General features: G+C 51.7%; 1 protein-coding gene and 1 long non-coding RNA gene across 2 annotated transcripts, besides 6 other annotated features; one reads left to right on the forward strand and one right to left on the reverse strand.

Moving 5' to 3' along the window:
- Window positions 1-585: 585 nt before the first annotated feature.
- LOC124903843 (uncharacterized) lies at window positions 586-2,319 on the forward strand. The gene is made up of 2 exons (XR_007065464.1): window positions 586-682; window positions 1,911-2,319. It is a non-coding gene; the product is annotated as an uncharacterized LOC124903843 (long non-coding RNA).
- Window positions 4,123-4,182: an enhancer, noted in NCBI's record as "active region_181". NCBI's record gives its function as "activates an Ori minimal core promoter by ATAC-STARR-seq in GM12878 lymphoblastoid cells {active_cell/tissue: GM12878}" and the evidence as "EXISTENCE:reporter gene assay evidence [ECO:0000049][PMID:35858748]".
- Window positions 6,056-6,211: a silencer, noted in NCBI's record as "fragment chr1:11977020-11977175 (GRCh37/hg19 assembly coordinates)". NCBI's record gives its function as "represses an EF-1alpha promoter that drives an FKBP-Casp9 reporter gene in an ReSE screen in HepG2 liver carcinoma cells {active_cell/tissue: HepG2}" and the evidence as "EXISTENCE:reporter gene assay evidence [ECO:0000049][PMID:32094911]".
- KIAA2013 lies at window positions 8,684-15,520 on the reverse strand. Its single transcript, NM_138346.3, has 3 exons — window positions 14,298-15,520; window positions 11,729-12,582; window positions 8,684-9,425 (listed from the first exon to the last, which is right to left on the reverse strand). The coding sequence occupies exons 1-3, from the start codon at window positions 15,328-15,330 to the stop codon at window positions 9,408-9,410; spliced, it is 1,905 nt and encodes a 634-aa protein (NP_612355.1). The 5' UTR covers window positions 15,331-15,520; the 3' UTR covers window positions 8,684-9,407.
- Window positions 14,464-15,126: an enhancer, noted in NCBI's record as "H3K27ac-H3K4me1 hESC enhancer chr1:11985428-11986090 (GRCh37/hg19 assembly coordinates)". NCBI's record gives its function as "activates a minimal SCP1, AML or CMV promoter by ChIP-STARR-seq in naive H9 embryonic stem cells {active_cell/tissue: H9 hESC(naive)}" and the evidence as "EXISTENCE:reporter gene assay evidence [ECO:0000049][PMID:30033119]".
- Window positions 15,127-15,790: an enhancer, noted in NCBI's record as "H3K27ac-H3K4me1 hESC enhancer chr1:11986091-11986754 (GRCh37/hg19 assembly coordinates)". NCBI's record gives its function as "activates a minimal SCP1, AML or CMV promoter by ChIP-STARR-seq in primed H9 embryonic stem cells {active_cell/tissue: H9 hESC(primed)}" and the evidence as "EXISTENCE:reporter gene assay evidence [ECO:0000049][PMID:30033119]".
- Window positions 15,375-15,444: a silencer, noted in NCBI's record as "silent region_277". NCBI's record gives its function as "represses an Ori minimal core promoter by ATAC-STARR-seq in GM12878 lymphoblastoid cells {active_cell/tissue: GM12878}" and the evidence as "EXISTENCE:reporter gene assay evidence [ECO:0000049][PMID:35858748]".
- Window positions 15,445-15,739: an enhancer, noted in NCBI's record as "tiled region #3946; HepG2 Activating DNase unmatched - State 1:Tss, and K562 Activating DNase matched - State 1:Tss". NCBI's record gives its function as "activates a minimal TATA promoter and a strong SV40 promoter by Sharpr-MPRA in HepG2 and K562 cells {active_cell/tissue: HepG2 | K562}" and the evidence as "EXISTENCE:reporter gene assay evidence [ECO:0000049][PMID:27701403]".

Raw genomic sequence — 21,941 nt, forward strand, 5'->3', positions numbered from 1 at the left:
CAGTGGCTCAGTCCAGGTCCCAAAACCTCAAAAGTAGGCAAGCTGACAGTGCAGCCTTCAATCTGTGGCTGAAGGCCTGAGAGCCCCCAGCAAACCACTGGTGTAAGTCCAAGAGTCCAAAAGCTGAAGAACTTGGAGTCTGATGTTCAAGGGCAGGAAGCCTCCAGCACGGGAGAAAGATGAAGCCCGGAGGACCCGGCAAGTCGGCTTTTTCCACCTTCTTCTGCCTGCTTTTTCTAGCTGTGCTGGCAGCCGACTGGATGGTGCCCCCGACACTGTGAGTGGGTCTTCCTGTCCCAGTCCACTGACTCAAGTGTTAATCTATTCTGGCCACGCCCAGAAACATCCAGATACACCCAGAAACAATACTTTGCATCCTTTGATGCAATCAAGTTGACACTGTTTTTTTGGTTTTTTTTTTTTTTTTTTTTTTTGAGATGAAGTTTCTCTCTGTCACCCAGGCTGGAGTGCAATGGCACGATCTCGGGTCACTGCAACCTCTGTCTCCTAGGTTCAAGCGATTCTCTTGCCTCAGCCTCCCAAGTAGCTGGGATTACAGGCACCCGCCACCACACTCGGCTAATGTTTTGTATTTTTAGCAGAGATGGGGTTTCACCATGTTGGCCAGGCTGGTCTCGAACTCCTGACGCTTACCATTAACCATCACAAGCTGTTAGCAGAGGTAATGATTAACACACCATTGGCTGGGGGTACATCCTGCAAGGGTGCCACCACCCAACTCCATGAGTGACCTTTGACCTTTAGCAAGTCACTGTTTTTCACCGGGTCTCAATTTGCACTTTGTAAAACATGGTGATAAAACCGTTCTTTGGTTTTCAGGGAAGCTGTAGATTGGCTAAAATTATGACAGTAATAAGGAGAGAAGAAGGGATACGTCCATGGGAGGAATGATGATCTCTAATGTCACTGTTGCCGTGAATTAGGGCCAGAGCCCACCCTTTGTCCCTAGAGGTCAGTGATGCCAATGAAGAAATCCAATTCTTGGGTGGGTGCAGTGGCTCACACCTGTAATCCAACACTTTGGGAGGCCGAGGCGGAAGGATCGCTTGAGCCCAGGAGTTTGAGGCCAGCCCGGGCAACATGGCGAGGCCCCATCTCTACAGAACATTTTTAAAAAATTAGCCGGGTGTGGTAGCATGCACTTGTGGTCCCAGCTACTCAGGAGGCTGAGGTGGGAGGATCACTTGAGCCCAAGAGCTCGAGGCTGCAGTGAGCCATGATTGTACCACTGCACTGCAGCCTGGGAGACCCTGTTTCAAAATAAAGGCTCCCTGGCTTCCCTACACCCACCCACCTCTGTGCATTCATTCGTTCACTCAGGCTCTCCACTGCTTAGCTTGGCTGACTCCCATCATCTTTCGGTTTCCAGATTGGAGGTTTCACCTTCCTCCAGGAAGACCTCCCTGACTTTCAAGGGGAGGTTAGATGTCCCTGCCCCATAGTCCCGCAGCCCTGACTGCAGTATCATCATCCACTTTCTCGTCTATAGGGTCCAGCCCTACGGGGTTTGGCGGGTGTTCTCCCCATGTGCGGAGACAGACATAGTAAGAAATAAAGACACAAGACAAAGAGATAAATAGAAAACAGCTGGGCCTGGGGGACCACTACCACCAAAACACGAAGACCGGTAGTGGCCCCGAATGGCTGGGCGCGCTGATATTTATTGTATACAAGACAAGGGGGGCAGGCAGGGTAAGGAAGGTGGGTCGTCCAAGTGATTGATAAGGTCAAGCAAGTCACGTGATCATAGGACAGGGGTCCCTTTCCTTTTAGGTAGCTGAAGCAGAGAGGGAAGGCAGCATACGTCAGCGTTTTCTTCTGTGCACTTATCAGAAATTCGATCAAAGACTTTAAGATTTTCACTATTTCTTCTACCGCTATCTTCTAAGAACTTCAAAGAGGAACCAGGAGTACGGGAAGAGCATGAAAGTGGACAAGGAGCGTGACCATGGAAGCACAGCACCACAGGGAGGGGTTTAGGCCTCCGGATGACTGCGGGCAGGCCTGGATAATATCCAGCCTCCCACAAGAAGCTGGTGGAGCAGAGTGTTCCCTGACTCCTCCAAGGAAACGGAGACTCCCTTTCACGGTTTGCTAAGTAACGGGTGCCTTCCCAGGCACTGGCATTACCACTTGACCAAGGAGCCCTCAAGCGGCCCTGATGCAGGTGTGACAGAGGGCTCACCTCTTGCCTTCTTGGTCACTTCTCACAATGTCCCTTCAGCCCCTGTCCCTATACCCGCCGGTTATTCCTTGGTTATACAACAAAGAGTAATATTAAAAGTTAATGATTAATAATGTTTATACTAATGATTTATAATGTCCATGATCATCTCTATATCTAATTTGTATTATAACTATTCTCATTCTAACTATTTTGTTTATTATACTGAAACAGTTTGTGCCTTCAGTCTCTTGCCTCGGCACCTGGGTAATCCTCCGTCCACACTCGTCTGTCTCTCCTGCAGGCTGCATTCGCTGAGGTGTGTCTGTGTTGTTCCCCTTTGAGTTCCAGTCAAAAAAGATTCCTAGAGAGAATTCGCTCTCACGCCAGGGCTAAGCTCCTCCCACCAGGTTCATGAGCCTGGAAGTAAGTGCCGTCCACCAATGTCCTGCCTGCTCTTCAGAGGCTCCTCAAGCCTTCCCTGCCCAGAGAGATTCCGGGATGAAAAGGAAAAACGTCCCTGCCTGGCAGAAATTGATGCTGCTTCTGGAAACGTAGGGCGGGTGGTTGTTTCCAAAATGTGTCTGCCATCACTTGAGCTAGTAGTGGGAGCATCTAGTTTTGGAGCTGGACAGGCTTGGGAACGCATCCCTGACTCCACAAATTATGTGACTTTGGCTTAATGACTTATCATCTGGGAGCCTCACTTTCCTCATCTGTAAAACAGGACTGACACTCACCTTGCAGGAATACTGGAGGTCTGTACTGCGCTGCCAACATCTATTCGCCCTCATCCGTGACAAGAGTACCCACAATTTCCTCTGGGAAGCTGCTCCTCTCTGATTAGTGTCTGTTCAGTGGTTGGAGGTTGACCCTACCCCAGCTCTGAGACGGCCTGGCCAGCCTATCCTAATTAGCATATCCCTTTCACCCTGGCCACAGTGATTGACTTAGGGCTGGGCTGTGCAGAGGTGAGCCTCAGCTTTTTGGGTAGGAACACCAGGACTTGGATTCCAGTGGGTTTAATGCTAGGAGGGCATCAAGCTTGTGATAACTGTGGCCATTTTTGTTACCATAAGGGTAGCCAGTCTGAGGATGGAAGCCAATCTACAGGAAACAGAGCTAAGAGATACTAATGCATCCCTAAATCACTTGAGTCCTGGATCAAACCGTTCCTGAAGCTCCTACTAAGCTACACTGTTATGTGAACCAATACTCTTCCTTTTGTTTAACCAGTTTTTGGTTTTGTGGGTTTTTTTGTTTGTTTTTGTTTTGTTTTGATATAGGATCTTACTCTGTCACATAGGCTGGAGTACAGTGGTATGATCTTGGCTCACTGCAACCTCCACCTCCTGGGCTCAAGCGATCCTCCCACCTTAGCCTCCCAAGTAACTGGAATCACAGGTGCACGCCACCACCATGCTCAGCTAACTTTTAAAATTTTCTGTAGAGACAAGGTCTCACTATATCACTCAGGCTGGTCTCGAAGTCTTGGGCTCAAGAGATCCTCCTGTCTCAGCCTCCCAAAGTGCTGGGATTACAGGTGTGAGCCACTGTGCTCAGTCAGAATCTGGTTACTCCTGCACCAGAAATACCCTAAGATTTATTTGGCCAGGCACGGTGGCTCACGCCTATAATCCCAGCAGTTTAGGAGGCTGAGGTGGGCGGATCGATTGAGCTCAGGAGTTTGAGACCAGCCTGGGCAACATGGTGAAACCCCGTCTCTACAAGATATACAAAAAAAATTAGCCAGGCTGAGTAGTCCCAGCTACTCAGGAGGCTGAGGTGGGAGGGTTGCTTGAGCCCATAAGGCTGAGGCCGCAGTGAGCTGTGATTGCACCACTGCACTCCAGCCTGGGCGACAGAGCGAGACCTTGTCTAAAAAAAAAAAAAAGAAGCATCCACGGTCCTATGACTCTCTGTATTCTTGGTTTGTTATCACCAGAGAAGAGTTCCATTTCTCCGCTGGAAGGATATGCCCGTATTGGTGTGTTCCGGCTGCTCTAACAATATACCGTAGACCGGGCAGCTTCAAAACAGCAGAAATTGATTTCTCCCAGTTCCAGAGACTGAAGTTCGAAATCACAGTGCCAGCATGGTTGGGTTCTAGTGGGGCCCCTCTTTCCGGTTGCAGACTGCTGTCTTCTCATTGCATTCTCATATGGCGGAAAGAGGGTGAGGCAGCTCTGTGGGGCCCCCTTAGAAGGGCCCTAATCCCATTCATGAGGACTCTACCCTCATGACCTAAGAACCCCCCTAAAAGCCCCACCTCCTAATCCTATCACATTGGAAGTTAGGACATCAACACAGGGGCCTGGTATGATGGCTCACACGTGTCATCCCAGCACTCTGGGAGGCTGAGGCAGGTGGAATACTTGAGCTCAGGAGCTTGAAACCAGCCTGGGCAACATGGCAAAGCCCCATCTCTACAAAAAATACAAAAACTGGCCAGGTGTGGTAGTGCACACCTGCAGTCCCAGCTACTTGGGGAGCCGAGATAGGAGGATTGCCTGGGCCCAGGAGGTTGAGGCTGTGGTGAGCCATGTTCACGTCACTGCACTCCAGCCTGGGTGCACTCCACAGTTCTCAAAAAAAAAAAAAAAAAAAAAATTTCAACGTAGAAATTTGAGGAGGGGACACAATTCAGCCCATGTCAGTGGCCACGGAGAATCCCACTTCCTCCTGGAAAAATCGTCCAGAGGAGCCACAGGCCTCTTGGTTAGTGCCTTAGCCTGGGTCTCCTACCCGGGGCTTGATCTTGTGGGGACCTTCTGTTTCAGTCCATGTCATGTTGCTATAACAGAATACCTGGGGCTGGGTAATTTATAAAGAAAAGAGGTTTTTTTTTTTTTTTTTTTTTTGAGGCGGAGTGTCGCTCTGTCGCCAGGCTGGAGTGCAGTGGCATGATCTTGGCTCACTGCAACCTTTGACTCCTTGGTTCAAGCGATTCTTCTGCCTCAGTCTCCTGTGTAGCTGGGATACGGGCATGTGCCACCATACTCAGCTAATGTTTGTGTGTTTTTTTTGCTTTGTTTTGTTTTGTTTTGAGACGGAGTCTTGCTCTGTTGCCCAGGCTGGAGTGCAGTGGCGCAATCTTGGCTCACTGCAAGCTCCGCCTCCCGGGTTCACGCCATTCTCCTGCCTCAGCCTCCCGAGTAGCTGGGACTACAGGTGCCCACCACCATGCCCGGCTAATTTTTTTGTATTTTTAGTAGAGATGTGGTTTCACTGTGTTAGCCAGGATGGTCTCGATCTCCTGACCTCATGATCCGCCCGCCTTGGCCTCCCAAAGTACTGGGATTACAGGCATGAGCTACCACGCCCGGCCAATTTTTGTATTTTTAGTAGAGACAGGGTTTCACCATGTTGGCCAGGGTGGTCTCGATCTCCTGACCTCGTGATCCACCCGCCTTGGCCTCCCAAAGTGCTGGGATTACAGGCGTGAACCACCATGCCCAGTCAAGAAAAGAGGTTTATTTACCTTACGGCTCTGCATGCTGAGAAGTTCGAGGGCATGGTGCCAGCATCTGCCTGGCCTCGTAGCATGGTGGAGAAGGTTGAAGGGGAAGCAGACACGTGTAAAGAAGCAAAACCCAAGGGGCTTCCTGGTTTTATAACAACCTGCTCTCTCGGGAACTAATCCATTCCCACAAGAGGAAGAACTCACTCACTCCTGAGAGAAGGCACCAAGCCATCCATGAGGGATCCACTCTCGTGACCCAAACACCTCCCACAAAGCCCCACCTCCCAACACTGCCACACTGAGGGCCAAATGTCAACAAACCATATCCAAACCGTAGCACCTTCTGAGGAGCCGAATAAAATGTGCCTCCGAATTGTCCACGCCAGTGACAGAAGAGGAGAGCTTGTGTCTACTGGCTCCATGTCCCACGGGTGAAGGGTGGCCCCAAACGGTGTTGTCATTCACATGCTTCAAGGCTACATATGCCTGAGTGCCTCGCAGCTTCCTAAAGATGACAGAGGCTGATGTTGGGTGCTGCCAGGACACTCAGACCCATGCAGAGCTGGCTGTCGCCACAATGGCAGGAGTCAAGGTGGCTGAGAGAGGCCGGGTGCGATGGCTCAAGTCTGTAATCCCAGCACTTTGGGAGGCAGAGGTGGGTGGATCACCTGAGGTCAGGAGTTCAAGACCAGCCTGGCCAACATGGTAAAACCCCGTCTCTTCCAAAAATACAAAAATTAGCCAGGTGTGGTGGCACACGCCTGTAATCCCAGCTGCTCAGGAGGCTGAGTGAAGCAGGAGAATCGCTTGAACCTGGGAGGAGGAGGTTGCAGTGAGCTGAGACTGCCATACGGCCCTCCAGCCTGGACAACAGAATGAGACCCCGTCTCAAAAAAAAAAAAAAAAAAAAAAAAAAAAAAAAGAGGTGGTTGAGAGGATGTGAGATGGGACAGAGGTATGAGGTGCAGGTGGATTTTCAGGGAGTGAACACATTTCCAAACCAATGTCTCGGCTGTTGGGAAGCTTCAGATAGTATGCAATTAAATTTTCCACACCAGATTTCAGGCCCTGAAAAAGCAATTTGAAAAAGGCTCTCTGTGGCCGGGCGCGGTGGCTCACTCCTGTAATCCCAGCACTTTGGGAGGCCGAGGCGGGCAGATCACGAGGTCAGGAGATCAAGACCATCCTGGCTAACATGGTGAAACCCCGTCTCTACTAAAAATACAGAAAATTAGCCAGGCGTGGTGGCGGGCGCCTGCAGTCCCAGCTACTCAGGAGGCTGAGGCAGGCGAATGGCATGAACCTGGGAGGTGGAGCTTGCAGTGAGCCGAGATCGTGCCACTTCACTCCAGCCTGGGTGACAGCGAGACCCTGTCTCAAAAAGAAAAAAAAGAAAAAGGCTCTCTGTGCAGCCACAGCCTCCACTGGACCGTGCAGATGGGACCCACCAGGGTTACTGCTTGGCCCGCTCCACCATGGACCACCAGCATCTCCTCTCTACCATGGTGGCCAGCTGGAAGCCCTGTGGACACTGAGCCATGCCACAGAAGCCATCAGACGCACACCATGGGGAGAAATGGCAGTGTGGGGATCCAAGCAAGCCTGCACCGGCATCGAGGCAGAGTTTGCACTCCAGTCACTCCATGGTCGCGTGGCCTTGGACAAATGATTCACTGTGTGAGGTCCAGGTTCCACATCTCTCAAACTGGGATCTTAACCCCCAGCAACCTCTTCATCCCAAAAGGCCATGTTGATGTGAAATATCTAACACGTATGGTGAGCACTTAATGAGAGCTGTACTTTACAAACCTCAGTTTATTGACATTCTAATCATTCGATAGGTATTTCTCAGGCACCACATACAAAGGTTTGTTTTTTTGAGATGGAGTTTCGCTCTTGTTGCCCAGGCTGGAGTGCAATGGCGCGATCTCGGCTCACCACAACCTCCGCCTTCCAGGTTCAAGTGATTCTCCTGCCTCACCCTCCCGAGTAGCTGGGATTACAGGCATGCACCACCACGCCTGGATAATTTTGTATTTTTAGTGGAGATGGGGTTTCTCCATCTTGGTCAGGCTGGTCTTGAACTCCCGCCCTCTGGTGATCTGCTCACCTCAGCCTCCCAAAGTGTTGGGATTACAGGCGTGAGCCACCACGCCCGGTCTTGTTTTACATTTATGGGAGCCTACAACATGCCCAGTTCCAAGTTCAAGAAGGAATGGGAGCTGCAGTTGTTGTGGTCTAACAGCTTTCCGTTTAATGTCACACTGTAAATGACACCAATTGCACCCCAGGAGGTTCCCACTCTGTAATAGGTGAACCAGCCCGTGGCCCACGGCTGGAAGATCACATGTCAGAGCTCTGCATGAGCCAGGGGAGAAGGTGCTGCATGGACAGAAGTAAGTGGGTGACCAGTGCCACTAAAAGCAGAGCTTGAGTTTACTCTCATAACCATCGGCTGTGGGCCAGACATTTGGCTGCTTTGCAGGCAGACCAGGCTTCCCGGTGAGTCATGCTGCTTAAAATGCTGTCTGGGAACGCAGAGAAAGTCTAAACGCCAAGACGCTGAGGACAGCCCCGCAGGTGGACTGCCATGCCCGGCTCGGCCCCTTTTTGGTCCCCAGAGTGGACCCTTCTCCTCCCCACAGAGGGGAGGCATCTGATGGTGGCTTCAGCAGACAACCTGGAGAAGAACCACTCAGGGTTTGTCTTGCTGACGTCCTATAGCCAGCAAAACCCAGGGCAGGAGAACCCTGGCTCTTTAGGGCAGGTGGGGGAGAGGGCATCTTAGCAGGGAAGGAGCTAGGGTAATGCCAGAAGCAACCCACTCAGCAGGGCCACTCAGCAACCCCCTGGCGAGCAGAAAGGTGGCAAACAACACATCTTCTGGGCAGACTCCTTTGAAGAGAGGTAGAACATACCAGAAAGGAATAGCATTGTGACAGCAGGGCCGGGTGGGTGTCCTGCTTCTGACAGATCTAGTGCTGAGGGCAGACGTGGTGCATGTCTCCAGGTTTCAACCACACACAAACCGGTCGTGAAAGTTTGAAAGATATTTATTTAAAAACAGAACAAAAAAGCTTTGGTATTTCAAAACCTGACAATCATCAATCACTAGAAAGTTAAACACCTCCCCTGAAGCCCCAAAGTACAAAACCACAGATGTCCACAGGCTCCTAAAAAAGGGCGTGCAAACCCGAGGATGACAGCACAACCCGCACCCTCCTACAGGCAGCAGCACAGCCACCCTGGGGGGCCCCGGCCCAGCCTCGGGACCGTGGGGCCTCCGAACGCCGAGATGGACATCACCGCCAACACTCACCATCTACAGGGGATGCAAAAGCCATCTAGCAAAATCTCAACAAAAATAAATTAAAACTTCATTAAGAAAGAACACGTTAAATTAGGAAAAGGACACAACTTTTCCTAGACAAGAGTCTTTTCAAAAGATGATCTATTTCCTGGGACAGAAGAAAGGGGGAAAGTGGAAGGAGTGAGTTCCATTTCAAGTATTTGCCATACAGGTTCATTTTATTGAGTGGAAAGCTTACAAAAGGTCCACTGGCCCCTTCCCTCCCCACGTGACACTCATTCCTTCCAATGCAAACTCTGGTGTATCCACACTCACTTCTGCGTCACCGGTTTCCCCCAACAAGGCACAAAGGGCGGGTGCTTCCAAAGGATCCCTTGCTCCTGGCAGCGGGACTTTCAGTGCTGGGTGTCTTGTGCAAATGGTGGCTGAAAGCAGGACTGTTAGTTCACTCAGACACTGGGATCTTCCTGTTCAATTCACAAAACAAGTGTGATTACTGTTCACTGCCAACCCCAGTGGCCAGCTATAGAAATAGGCTACGGAGACAACCCTAGTGGCACCACACCCTGGCTCTGACCCAGCCTTGCAGAATTACCACGGACTCAGTGGCCTGGGCCCTTCTGGAGCTGAGTGTTCACTGGCTCCACTCTGGCATGGCCCAGCTTGAGCCTAAGTCAAGGAGAGATCGGTCAGTACCCCATGAAGGTAGTTTGGCTCATTTGCCCAACTGTGGGAGGAACCGAAGGTGCACTCAAGAGCGAGGGCAGAGAAGCCACCAAGCAGCAGGGAAAAGCAGCCGCCTGCCAAACAGACGGCAAAACCCACACGATGCACATTTGGCACCTGTCCTAGTGCAGCTAGTTCAGAGGCGGCTCACAAGGAAGGCCTCTGTGCAGTCCTTTTTGATCTGACTTTTGATTTTTCTTCGAACTTGAGGAACTCAGCCCTGTCTCCCACTCTTCTGCTCTTTCAGGTCAAGTTCTGCTTCCTTTTCCAAGTCCTGGTCTTGGGCCAGAAACTAGAAGCCGCAGGCATCCCTGTGGATGTGATGGGACACTTCCCATTTCTCCAGGGTGGGATCTGGGCTCTCTGACTACTTGGGGGCACAGACGCAGAGCCTAATATACCTCTCTACTGTCACTACAGTTTAAAAAGAGAAGATAAAGGAGAAAAGAAGAGAAGGGAGGGGAGGGGAGGAAGAGTAGAGGGGAGGAGACGGGATACAGGAGGAGAGAAGAGAAAGGGAAACAGCTCAGCTCTTTGGGAAACATTTTCTTCTACAACTGCTAACAAAGGCCTCCCCCTGGAATCCCTGCTGGTCTTTCTCCTGAGGAAGCACAGAAGGCCGGGCGGCAGGGCACAGTAGGCAGCCTCACCCCGCGACAGCAATGCTGATGCTAAGATGCTGCCCCGATGACAGTCTTGCAGCAATGATGGCCAAAATCACCGCTTCCAGGGGCAAACATGTCTCAGGAAACTTGAGGGCAATGCTTCTGTCCTGTGTCCTATGCTAACGAGATGGCCACTCTGGTCCGAGGCCTGGAGCAAGGGGCTGACCTCTGCATGCCATGAACAGGCACATGGGGGGAAGCTGGGGATCCCGCCAGCAGTTCAGACAGAGGCTTCAAGTCAATCTAGGGGCTTGTTGCAGTTATTTTTATTTTATTATTATTATTATTTATTATTTATTTTTTATTTTTTTGAGACAGAGTCTCACTCTGTCACCCAGGCTGGAGTGCACTGGCATGATCTCGGGTCACTGCAACCTCCGTCTCCCGGGTTCAAGCAATTCTCCTGCCTCAGCCTCCCGAGTAGCTGGAATTACAGGCATGCACCACCATGCCCAGCTAATTTTTGTATTTTTAGTACAGATGGGGTTTCACCGTGTTGGCCAGGCTGGTCTTGAACTCCTGACCTCAGGTGATCTGCCCGCCTCAGCCTCCCAAAGTACTGGGATTATAGGCATGAGCCACTGCACCCAGCCTCATTATTATTATTTTTAGACAGGGTCTCACTCTGTCACCTGGGATGGAGTGCAATGGTGTAATCACAGCTCACTGCAGTCTCAAACTCCTGGGCTCAAGTGATCCTCCCACCTCAGCCTCCTAAGTAGCTGGGACTACAAGCGTGCACCATCACGCCTGGCTGATTTTTAAATTTTTTGTAGAGACAAGTCCTCGTTATCCTGCCCAGGCTGGTCTCAAACTACTGGGCTCGAAGGATCCTCCCACCTCGGCCTCCCAAAGTGTTGAGATTATAGGCATGAGCCACCAGGCCCTGCCTCTAATTTTTTTTTTTTTTTTTTTTTTACTTTTATTTGCTTTTTTGTTTTTTGCTTTTTTGAGACAGGGTCTTGCTCTGTTGCCCCAGCTAGAGTGCAATGACACAATCATAGTTCACTGCAGCCTCAAACTCCTGGGCTCAAGGGATTCTCCCATCTCAGCCTCCCAAGTAGCTGGGACTACAGGCACAAGCCACCACACCCAGCTTGCAGTTATTTTTAAATGCTGAGATTTATGATGCGGGAGGAGGGGAGGGCTGCCCTGGAAAGCCAGAAGACCATCAATTCACACCTGGATTTCCAGCTTTCCCTTCCTCGTCGTCTCCTCTCAAAACACTTGTGCGCGCTCTCTGGTGTCAAGGGCTGAGGGCATCAGGACACCCATTCCTGCCCAGGCCTCACCCCCCCTCGCCAGGCTAGCCCCTTCCGAGACACAGGGCTGAGAGCAAGGCCAAGGCCTCGGGTTTCGACCAGATGGCGGCTTCCTACCTTACTCCTGAAGAGGGGCTTGGCTCCAGGCCCACAGTACTCGTTGTAGATGAGCTTGAAGAGGAAGAGGTGGAAGAGGGTGATTAGGGAGGCCACGCTGAACCAGAAGAGGAAGGGCAGCCCGGGGTCCTGCTGGGCCATGTGCTCATCATGGGCCAGGATGGCCTTGAGGTGCAGCGTGTGCCGCAGGTCCTGCAGGTGTGTGAGGTCGGTGGAGATGTAGAGCAGTGGCGTGATGGGCTGTGTCACCATGACCGAGAAGGTGTGGCCCGTGGGCGCCGAGGTCAGCTCCACTGGCTCGTCCAGGCAGCCTGCCTTGCAGGCATAGATCTTGACAGGCTGGCCACGGGACTCCACGGACACGTGTAGGTAGGGCTTGCCCTCGGCATCCGCCAGCACGGCCAGGTTGATATGGTCGTTCTTGTAGCGGATGCCATGCAATGCATAGCTGTTGTGCAGCACGTCGGGGTCGGCCTGGAACTGGAGGTGGTTCTCTGTGAACTGCAGCCCCCCAAAGCTGAGCACCATCCCCTGCAGGATGCCTGGGGCACCCACCTTCACCAGCCCCTTGCAGCCACGCTTCTGGAGGGTCAGCCTCCACAGGTCAGAGAGCTGCAGGATCTGCTGGACGGAGGACAGCCGCCCCGGCCACAGGTTCTCGGCGTGCATGGTGGCGTGCCCGCTGAAGCAGTGATCTTCATAGTTGAGCGTCGACTCCATCTGGTCTCGCTCCCTGTGGCTCAGGGAGGGGCTGAGCAGTGGGGCTGGCGAGCAGGAGAGCATGTAATAGAGCGTCAGGTTCACGGTGAGGCCAGACGGCGTGTGGGTGTCAGTGATCTTCTTCATTTCCACTCCTGCAACACCATGAAAGCGGCATGTTAAGGGGGAAGGACAGCTGGGAGGCAGAGCATACGAAATAAAGACCAAGGGCAGCAGAAGAGTGAGGTGTTGTGCCTTAATGATAAAGACAGTGGTGCCCATCTCCCTAAAGTATAGAAGAAAGTCAGCCTGTCTTGTTTACACGACCAACTTGAGCCTGTGGGCCTGAAATCTAGAATCCTGTTAAAAAGCAGCGGGGCCTGGTGCCAGAGCCCAGAGGAACACAGACTTAGCCAGGACTTGGCACCAACCCTATGGTCAGACATCCTGCGCCAGATCAGTCACCAGTGCTGAGGCCAGTCTCAGGCCACTTCTCCTCTCTGTCCTTTCTCTCTCCAGTCTTGTAGCTTTATGTATGTATGTATTTATTTGTTTATTGAGACAGAGTCTCACTGTGTTGCCCAGGCTTGAGTGCAGTGGAACGATCTCAGGTTACTACAGCCTCCGCCTCCCGGGTTCAAGTGATTCTCCCGTCTCAGCCTTTGAGTAGCTGGGACTACAGGTGCAGGCCACCACCCATGCCTAAAACAGCCCTGGCAGAAGCATTCAATAGACACTTGCTGAATAAACACGTGCTGGGCCCCTTTGCTACTGATGGATTCAACAGCCCTAAGATTTAAAAACATACACACACACAACTTTGTTTCTGTGAAGATGACCATCCTCTCGCCGGGCGCGGTGGCTCACGCCTGTAATCCCAGCACTTTGGGAGGCCAAGGTGGACGGATCATGAGGTCAGGTTAAGTTTTGTATTTTTAGTAGAGACAAGGTTTCGCCACGTTGGCCAGGTTGGCTTGAACTCCTGACCTCAGGTGATCCACCTGCCTCAGCCTCCCAAAGTGCTGGGATTACAGCGTGAGCCACCGCGCCCAGCCAGCACATTCTAGCCTAAAAAGATGCCTTATTTTAATTTTAATTTTCACTTTTCTAATGTCTGTCTTCCTCCCAACCAGAATTTAAGCAAGCACCATGAGAACAGGAACTCTGGTTCCCATCTGCACCCCCCCATGCATAGAACAGCCCTGGCAGAAGCATTCAATAGATACTTGCTGAATGAACTCAACTCTCTGAGCAACCAAACACAAAGGTTCAGACAATTGGAACCCTGGAAACCAAAACCCCTCTCTCATCCAGAACAGGATTTTCTTTTCTTTAACAGTCAACGAGAGGAGAGTTTTCATCGGGCGGGAGCATCTCAACCTGCTAAAAGGGATTCTCCAACCTCCCTGTGAACCAGTTGCAGCCACAACTGCCAGGACGCACCTCAGCCTAGCAGGGGTTATGTCAAGAAGCCCACGTCTGTCACCAGGCCGACTGCGGTGCTGAGCAAAGAATCAGGGGATCCACCTGCTGGTTTCACCTCTGCAAACTGACTCTAAAACACTTCACTCTGCTCACATCAGGCCCCATCTACCAAAACAAGTAACAGAAAGAATTGACCTTTACACTCAATTGTCCACTACAGTCTCATAAAAACCTTCTGAGGTAGGCGTTATTGTTATTAAATACAGGCCCAGAGAGATTAGGCGACGAATCCAAAGGTCGCACAGACACTAAGCAGTTGAGCAGATTCAACCACTGGTGAAACGCCAAGCCCAAGTTTCAACCACCCCACCATCACCTTCAGTGTCACCTCTGCAGACTTGGGAGGGACATATCTAGGGTGGACCAAGCGCTGGCCAGGACTCACCTGGGCTGAAGAGCTGAGCCCAGAGGAGCTGGTGGTCTTGAAGCAGCTCCGCCGCTGGCATGTCCAAGAGCTCCAGCATTTCCTTCCGTGCCAAGTCCTGCAGCGCCTTGAGCTCCTTGGCTGCTTTGCTTTTGAGCACCTGGGGGTTAATGGGGCCAGAGACGTGCACCACCCACAGCACCGTCTCATCCAGCTGCGTCTTGGGAGCCACTTGGAGGCGGTTCACCAGCTTCTTGGCGGCCACCACCACCAGGTGCACCAACCCAGTGGGCGTAGGCGGGGACCGGCCTGAGTAGAGGAGGAACTGATGGTCTCCGACCTTCTCCAGGGTACTGGTGAAGGCCTTGGGGGCTGGGCCGGCAGTGGGCCCCACAGTCTGCAGCGCGGCCACGCGCTCCGTGGGGTTGTTGAGCTGGATGCGCTGCAGGTAGACGTGGGGTCGGCCCCTGTGCGCCAGAAAGTCCTCTTGCAGCAGCACGCAGTCGCGGCCGGACCCCGCGGCAAGGCCAGAGACGGAGGCGGGCCCGGGGCCGGCGGCCACGGGGCCAGGACCTGGGGACCCCAGCTGCAGGCAACGCACGCGGCGCAGAAGCCCCTCCCGCAGCAGCAGCACCGCCTCTCCAGCTTCAGCCAGCGCGCTCAGCGGGCGCAGCTGCACGAAGGGCACAAAGTCCGGCGCCACGGCGGGCTCCCGCTCCCCGGGAGTCACCCACAGCCGATTGGCAGCCACGTCCAGGGCCAGGAAGCCGTTGGCCACCAGGGCCGGCACTCCAGGACCCAGCGGTACCACCTCACCGCGCTCCCGCAGGCCGCGCCAGGCGCGGGTGGCCGCCTCCAGGCAGGCAGACGGCTCGGCGGCGCCCGGCTCACCGCGGGACCAGGGCAGCAGGTGCAGGCCGCCCGCCGCCCGCCGCGCGCCGGACCCCCCAAACCACAGAAGCAGCAGCAGGAGGCCAAGCAGGCAGAGGAGGCGGCGGGCCCAGCTGCTCGACAGCAGTCCCGGCAGCCCCTTGAGCCGCTGCTGCAGCCACATCGGGCCGCCAGGCGCGGGCAAGGGTGCGAGGGCGGCCGCCGGGCCCGCCGCCCAGCCCACCGGCCCGGCCGCCCGCGCCTCACTGCCCGGCCCGGACCGCGGCGCCCACCCCGGCCCCCGCCGCAACCGCCGCAGCAGCCGCCACCCCTGCTTCCTCCTTCTTCTCGGTGGCCTCCAGCCGTCAAACGACGCCGGCGGTCAAGCGTCGCCGTGTCTTTTACGACAGATGGAAAACGGGAGGGCGGAGGGAGGAGAGAGAGCAGGCCGGAGAGAAGGGGGCGGAGCCACGGCGAGGGCGGGACAAAAGCTGCCGGGGGCGGGACCACTCGTTCCCAGGCCGGAAGAGTGAAGTCCAGTGGAGTTAAGTGCAGGGGTCTGGGGAGGACTGGAAGCATCCAATTCACTCGTGAAAAAAACATCGAGCCAGCCAAACCGAACACGTGTTGGGCCCCTTTGCTACTGATGGATTCAACAGCCCCAAAATTTAAAAACATACACACACACACACACAACAACTTTGTTTCTGTAAAAATGACCATCCTCTCGCCGCGCGCGGTGGCTCACGCCTGTAATCCCAGCACTTTGGGAGGCCAAGGCGGGCGGATCACGAGGTCAGCAGTTTGAGACCAGCCTGACCAACATGGTGAAACCCCATCTCTACTAAAAATACAAAAACTAGCCGGGCGTGGTGGCGCATGCCTGTAATCCCTGCTCCTCAGGAGGCTGAGGTAGGAGAACTGCTTGAACCCGTGAGGCGGAGGTTGCAGGCTTGCAGTGAGCCGAGATCACGCCACTGCACTCCAGCCTGGGCGACAGAGTGAGACTCTGTCTCAAAAAAAAAAAAAAAAAAAAAGACTATCCTCACTGCAAAAAAACACTTGGAACAATACGAAAAAGTGGAGGAAAAAAAAAGGAGAGAGAAGAAGAGGAAGAAAGAAGAAGAAAGGAAAAGGGAGGAGGAGGGGAAGGGGAACCACCAGAGGCCAGGAGTGGTGGCTCACGTCTGTAATTCCAGCACTTTAGGAGGCTGAGATGGGCAAATCACTTGAGGTCAGGAGTTCGAAACCAGCCTGACCAACATGGTGAAAACCTGTCTCTACTAAAAATACAAAAATTAGGCTGGGCACGGTGGCTCACGCCTGTAATCCCAGCATTTTGGGAGGCCGAGGCCGCCAGATCACGAGATCAGGAGATCGAGACCATCCTGGCTAACACGGTGAAACCCTGTCTCTACTAAAAATATAAAAAATTAGCCAGGCGTGGTGGCAGGCGCCTGTAGTCCCAGCTACTCGGGAGGCTGAGGCAGGAGAATGGCGTGAACCCGGGAGGCGGTGCTTGCAGTGAGCCAAGATCGCGCCACTGCACTCCAGCCTGGGTGACAGAGGGAGACTCTGTCTCAAAAAAAAAAAAATAAATAAATAAAAATAAAAAAATAAAAATGCAAAAATTAGCTGGGCGTGGTGGTGGGCGCCTGTAATCCCAGCTACTTGAGAGACTGAGGCACGAGAATCGCTTGAACCAGGGAGGCAGAGGTTGCAGTGAGCCGAGATCGCGCCACTGCACTCCAGCCTGGGCAACAGAGCGAGACTCCGTCTAAAAAAATAAAAAATAAAATAAAAACTAACCACCAGAAACTAGACTTCCCCAAAAATATTTTGTTAACAGACCTGTCTAGCTGCATGCACACCACACGTGGACACAAATCCAGCCAAGGGCCATCAATGTCTCCACTACACCAAATCGTCTTCTTGATGTCAGTCCTAAGTTTTAACTTATTAAATAACATAAGACACTAACGTCTCATACTTTGAAAATGGCTTTAAATTGTGAATCATCGATGCAAAAGATAAATATTGCTTTGTATTTTGGGAAAAAAATTCAATATAAGCACAGAGGCAGACAATGGGTGATTGTTTCCACTTTGGTTTCAGTACATTCCAAAGCCAGACAGTGCTTCCCAGTTGTTGGAAATTAAACGGTCATTTGAGGTGGCCTCTGGTGGGCTGTGAGCAGACACAGAAATGTTTGCTGAGGCCAGTGCCCTTTAGAAGGAACTGTCCAGGTGGTCCTACAGTCTGCTTACCATTTTTATTTTTTTTATTTTTTTTATTTTTTTTTATTTTTTATTTTTTTGAGACAGAGTCACACTTTGTCCCCCAGGCTAAAGGGCAGTGGTGCAATCTCAGCTCACTGCAACCTCTGCCTCCTAGGTTCAAGCAGTTGTCATGCCTCAGCCTCCCAAGAAGCTAGGATTACAGCCAACACACCTGGCTAATTTTTGTGTTTTTAGTAGAGACCAGGTTTCACAACATTGGCCAGCATGGTCTCAAACTCCTGACCTCAGATGATCCAACTGCCTCAGCCTCCCAAAGTGCTGGGATTACAGGCGTGAGCCACTGCGCCTGCCTTATTTATTTATTTATTTATTGAGACGGAGTTTCACTCTTGTTGCCCAGGCTGGAGTATAGTGGCGCGATCTCGGCTCACCACAACCTCCACCTCCTGGGTTCAAGCAGTCCTCCTGCCTCAGCCTCCCGAGTAGCTGGGATTACAGGAACCTGCCACCACACCTGGCTAATTTTTGTATTTTTAGTAGAGATGGAGTTTCACCATGTTGGCCAGGCTGGTCTGGAACTCCTTACTTGTGATCTGCCCACCGTGGCCTCCCAAAGTTCTGGGATTACAGGTGTGAGCCACCACCCCCAGTCCTATTTATTTATTTATTTATTTAGAGAGAGGGTCTCACTCTGTTGCCCAGGCTGGAGTGCAGTGGCACGATCACAGCTCACTGCAACCTCCATCTCCCAGGCTTAAGTGATCCTCCCAACTCAGCCTCCCAAGTAGCTAGAACTATAGGCCGTCACCATTATGCCCAGCTAATTTTTTTTTTTTTTTTGGTATTTTTTGGAGAGGCAGGTTTTTGCCACATTGCCCAGGCTGGTCTTGAGCTCCTGAACTCAAGCAGTCCTCCTACCTTGGCCTCCCAGAGTGCTGGGATTACAGGTGTGAGCCACCACACTTAACCTTCTTTATTTTTTTTTTTCAATTTTTATTTTAGGTTCAGGGAGTACATGTGCAGGTTTATTACAAGGGGATATTGTGTGATGCTGAGGTTTAGGCTTTTTTTTTTTTGAGATGGAGTTTCGCTCTTGTTGCCCAGGCTGGAGTGAAATGGCACGATCTTGGCTCACCACAACCTCCACCTCCCAGGTTCAAGCAATTCTCCTGCCTCAGCCTCCCGAGTAGCTGGGATTACAGGCGTGTGCCACCATGCCTGGCTAATTTTTTGTATTTTTAGTAGAGACAGGGTTCTCCATGTTGGTCAGGCTGGTCTGGAACTCCTGACCTCAGATGATCCACCTGCCTCAGCCTTCCAAAGTGCTGGGATTACAGGCGTGAGCCACCGTGCCCAGCCTTAAGGTACTGCACTCCAGTCTGGGAGACAGAGTGAGACTCTGTCTCAAAAAAAAAAAAAAAAGAAAGAGGACATTTTATTATGATTTATTTTTACTATTATTATTATTAGGGAGGCTTAAGTGCTAGTGAGAGGTGATCATCCATCTAGCAGCACAGAATATGGCCATCCTACCGAAGCCCTTGCTCTTCCTGGGGCCAAAAAAGGAAATGAATAAAAGAAAAGGATGAAAATGAGAAAAGCCCCTCATGTCACCGGGCAGCTGCCCTCCAGGCCAGCTATCCTTTCTACACCTTCCCTAGAAATCTGAGTCCTGCGCCTTTAACTGTCCACAGCACGTGCAGCACGTACCAGAAGTAACATCTGGACGGCAGCCACCACTGGTTAAAGAGACAGGCCCCCTTTCTCCATGAAGCTTGGGCAGGGTTCAAGTTTCAGCAATTTGGTGAAGGGAACAGGAAACAGATACCAAAGGAGGAGAGGGCAGGCTTTGCCAGAGTGAATCCTTTCTCCCAGAGAGGCCAGCAGCCTCCAAGATTGATTCCCCCTCCTGACTTAAAATGACTTTTGGGCATGGGACTCCCACTGCCCAAGGGGTTTTTTCTTTTCCTTTTTTTTGAGACAGAGTCTTACTCTGTAACTCAGGCAGAAGTACAGTGGTACAATTACGGCTCACTGCAGCCTCAACCTCTTGGGCTCAAGTGATCCTCCCACTTCAGCCTCCTGAGAAGCTGAGATTACAGGCGCACACCACCATGCCCTCCTAATTTTTTTTGTGGAGACGGGAGGTGGGTGGGGGCGGAGGGACGGGTCTATGTTGCCCAGGCTGGTCTTGAACTCCTGGTCTCAAAGGATCCTCCCACCTCAGCCTCCCAAAGTGTTGGGATTACAGGCGTGAGTCATGGCACCTGGCCTCAAGGTTTTGTTTTTTTTTTCTATTCATAGTACATCACCATTGAGGTTCTCCTTGGACTACAGCAAATGGAGGGTTAGAGCTGGGTTCCAATGCTGCCTCCCTTACTGTAGTTCTGCATCAGTTGTGTGGCGTCGAGCAGATTGCTTCACTTCTCTGGGTCTGTTTTCTCATTTTGCAAATGGGGCAATACTGTTTAATTAGCAAGGCTGTTGCGAGCAGGGAATGAGGGAGAGTTTTGAAAACTGAACCAGGGGCCGGGAGCATTGGCTCACACGTGTAATCCCAGCACTTTGGGAGGCTGAGGAAGGCAGATGTCTTGAGCTCAGGAGTTTTAGACCAGCCTGGCCGACATTGTGAAACCCTGTCTCTACAAAAAAAAAAAAAAAAAAAAAAATTAGCCAGGCAAGGTGCATGCCTGTAGTCCCAGCTACTCAGGAGGCTGAGGTGGGAGAATCACCTGAGCCCAGGAAGTTGAGGCTGCAGTGGGCTGTAATCACACCACTGCACTCCAGCCTGGGCAGCAAAGTGAGACCCTGTCTCAAAAAAAAAGAGAACATGGAACCAGCCAACAAATGCTCATTCTCCTCCCTCTGCTCCTCCTGGCATTTCCTCTTCCTCCAGGGGTCTGGAGTCTGAGTCTGCATCCTCCTGAATCCAAAACATCCGGTGGATTCTGGCACCAAGTCCTGTCTCCAGATGCTGAAACTCCCAGCCCTGGATCCCAGCTGGGAGGTAGGGGCCCTGGATTCTGCTCAGGCCTCTTCCTTTTACTTGCCTTGGGACCTTGAGCTTGCTGCCCCATGCCTATGGATATCACTTGTGCTATCTGTGCAATGAGCACATCTCCATACAATGAGATGATTTCCACACAATGAGATGATTTCCAAGGTTCCCAGTGACTGACTCTATCTTTGTTTTTTTAATAGAGATGGGGGAAGGGTTTTGCTATAGTGTCCAGGCTGGTCTGGAACTCCTGGGCCCAAGCAGTCCTCCTGCCTTGGCCTCCCGAAGTGCTGGGATTACAGGCATGAGTCTCTGTGCCGGCCTGGACCTATATTCTAAAAATAGCATGTATTGATTTTGTTTGAATATATATATATATTTTTTCAAGACGGAGTTTTGCTCTTGTTGCCCAGGCTAGAGTGCAATGGTGCGATCTCGGCTCACTGCAATCTCCGCCTTCCAGGCTCAAGAAATTCTCCTGCCTCAGCCTCCCAAGTAGCTGGGATTACAGGAATGCGCCACCATGCCCAGATAATTTTGTATTTTTGGTAGAGACAGGGTTTCTCCATGTTGGTCAGGCTGGTCTTGAAATCCCGACGTCTGGTGATCTGCCTGCCTCCACCTCCCAAAGGGCTGGTATTACAGGCATAAGCCACCATGCCCCGCCGATTTTGTTTGAATTTTACAAATAGTATATATTTATTGAAAAAAAAAGAAAAATATAAATAACAAAATAAATACTTGGAAATAATATAAAACATCAAAAATTGTCTATATAAATATGAAATAATCCCACAACCTGGAAATAATCACAGTAAATATTTGGCCATAATTTTCTCCTAGCATTGTCTCTATGCATGTATACATCGATAAGAATATATTTTTGGCTGGGCGCGATGGCTCACGCCTATAATCCCAACACTTTGGGAGGCCGAGGCTGGTGGATCACGAGGTCAGGAGTTCAAGACCAGCCTGGCCAAGATGGTGAAACCTCATCTCTACTAAAAATACAAAAATGAGCCAGGCATGGTGGCAGGCACCTGTAATCCCAGCTACTCGGAAGGCTGAGGCAAAGAATTGCTTGAACCAGGGAGGCGGAGGTTGCAGTGAGCTGAGATTGTGCCACTGCACTCCAACCTGGGCTATACAGTGAGACTCCATCTCAAAAAAAAAAAAAAAGAAGGTATTTTTACTGAGTGGAACCATACTATATATTCTGCTTTTCCACTTAACATCATATGGGTAGTGTATTTCTCTGGCTGCAGCATCTGAATGCTATTTTGTTTTTATTTTTATTTTTTGGTTTGTTTGTTTTTTTTGAGGCAGGTTCTGACTCTCTTGCCCAGGCTGGAGTGCAGCGGTGTGATCATGGCTCACTGCAACCTCCACCTCCCGGGCTCAAGTGATCCTCCCCAGTCAGCCTCCTGAATAGCTGGGACTACAGGCACATGCCACCATGCCCAGCTAATTTTTGTTTTTTTAGTAAAGAAGGGGTTTCACCATGTTGCCCAGGCTGGTCTTGAATTCCTGGGCTCAAGCAATCTGGCTGTCTTGGCC

Source organism: Homo sapiens, chromosome 1, assembly GCF_000001405.40.
Source record: "Homo sapiens chromosome 1, GRCh38.p14 Primary Assembly".
Lineage (NCBI taxonomy): Eukaryota > Metazoa > Chordata > Mammalia > Primates > Hominidae > Homo > Homo sapiens.

What these genes read in the sequence shown, in the direction of transcription:
- KIAA2013 (NM_138346.3), bottom strand. Translation starts at nt 15,330, where the DNA reads ATGTGGCTGCAGCAGCGGCTCAAGGGGCTGCCGGGACTGCTGTCGAGC. An exon ending in GGCTCAGCTCTTCAGCCCAG is followed by an intron (nt 12,583 to 14,297) that starts GTGAGTCCTGGC and finishes ATGGTGTTGCAG; the next exon opens with GAGTGGAAATGAAGAAGATC.